This window comes from Homo sapiens, chromosome 7 (genome assembly GCF_000001405.40).
Source record: "Homo sapiens chromosome 7, GRCh38.p14 Primary Assembly".
In the NCBI taxonomy this organism is placed as follows: Eukaryota; Metazoa; Chordata; class Mammalia; order Primates; family Hominidae; genus Homo; species Homo sapiens.
In genome coordinates this window covers 156,268,097-156,269,355 of record NC_000007.14, presented here as the reverse complement: position 1 = coordinate 156,269,355, position 1,259 = coordinate 156,268,097, and the positions used below count along the sequence as shown (strand labels likewise).

Below are 1,259 nucleotides of genomic sequence, written 5' to 3'. Positions count from 1 at the left end.
TAACCTGGATATTTGGTTGGATGTGCAAGTGTCTTTAGACATGTCAATTCCAAGGAAGTTCCAAAGAACCATTCTCTTTCAGAAGAGTTATGTGGCTTACGTTGTGTTTCTAAGGTGCTGGTCTTTCGGTAGGCTGCTGCAGGCTAAAGACGTGATAAACCTTTTCCATTGATCTTTTTATTCTGCAACCCATAAAAGAAAATGCTAGACTCTCCCATTCATTCCTTTCTCCCTCTCCCATCCCTCCTCCCCATCTGCCCCCAGCCTCTCATGTGTGGTCATTAGAAGCAAACAGAGGACCACACTTCTACCTTTTAATTGGGTGTTTAACGGGACAGTGTTTGAAAGCAATTAATGGGGAAAAACATTGTTGTCCTGTTTTATCAATTGATCTTCAAGAAAAATGCCTACCCAAGGTAAGGATTCCGTGTGAGCCAGGAAACTGTTGTCCTTTTCAGTTTTTCCCATGTCACAATTTATTCATTTAATTCAGCTCTCCAAAATCGCCGCAGTGCCAATTATCTCTCTGTGTGTGGAAAATGAGTTCGGCCTACTTGAGTTTTTCCTTCATCTGATGCCTGCTTTTGGCTTTTCTTCTGTGCCTGAGTCATGTGCGATGCGAAGAAAAGGAGAGGATCTTCAGAAATATGTGAAGTGGTTAAAGTGGCTTCTTGGTACCTGCGAAGAGTCCCCTCGAAGCAGCTTAGGAGACAATGGCAGGTTGCGTCTGGCCGGGGTTTGTTTTGTCCACATGATCCATTTCACACGCACCCAGGCAACTGATGAATAGAGGATTAGCACAAGTTTTCACCTTATTGAAATGAGTAATTCAAAGCAAACAAATAGGGCTAACTAGTTAGAATATGAAATTAAAGATTCTCTAAGTCGCTTTGTTGTCCTGCAACTCACATTCACACTCATCAAAAAAATATGCAGATAGACACACAAACACCAGGTCACACGGTGGCCTCCAGGTTAGCCTGCTCGGGTGAGGCTGCATGTTGGAAACGCTAGGCAAATGGATGGGCACCGCACAGTGTGACCTCACGCACTGCGAGGTCATCTGCATCTCCATCGTCAGGACTGGAATTTTAAAAGTAATTAAGCTGTGCATTGAAAAACATGAAGATGATGGTTTGCTTTTAGGTTAATCTCTCTTGATATGACATTTAAGTTTTTAGCCACCGTGACATGACTATTATAAAATCTATCATTACATTGTGTAGAACAAACCCAGACAAATGTTGAACCTAGGATGT

At 42.5% G+C, this 1,259-nt stretch overlaps 3 annotated features.

Moving 5' to 3' along the window:
* Positions 202-999: an enhancer, noted in NCBI's record as "SBE2". NCBI's record gives its function as "enhancer in the ventral diencephalon" and the evidence as "EXISTENCE:transgenic organism evidence [ECO:0001131][PMID:16407397]".
* Positions 537-546: a protein binding site, noted in NCBI's record as "Six binding site". NCBI's record gives its function as "required for enhancer activity" and the evidence as "EXISTENCE:protein binding evidence [ECO:0000024][PMID:18836447]".
* Positions 836-842: a protein binding site, noted in NCBI's record as "SoxB1 binding site". NCBI's record gives the evidence for it as "EXISTENCE:protein binding evidence [ECO:0000024][PMID:22421044]".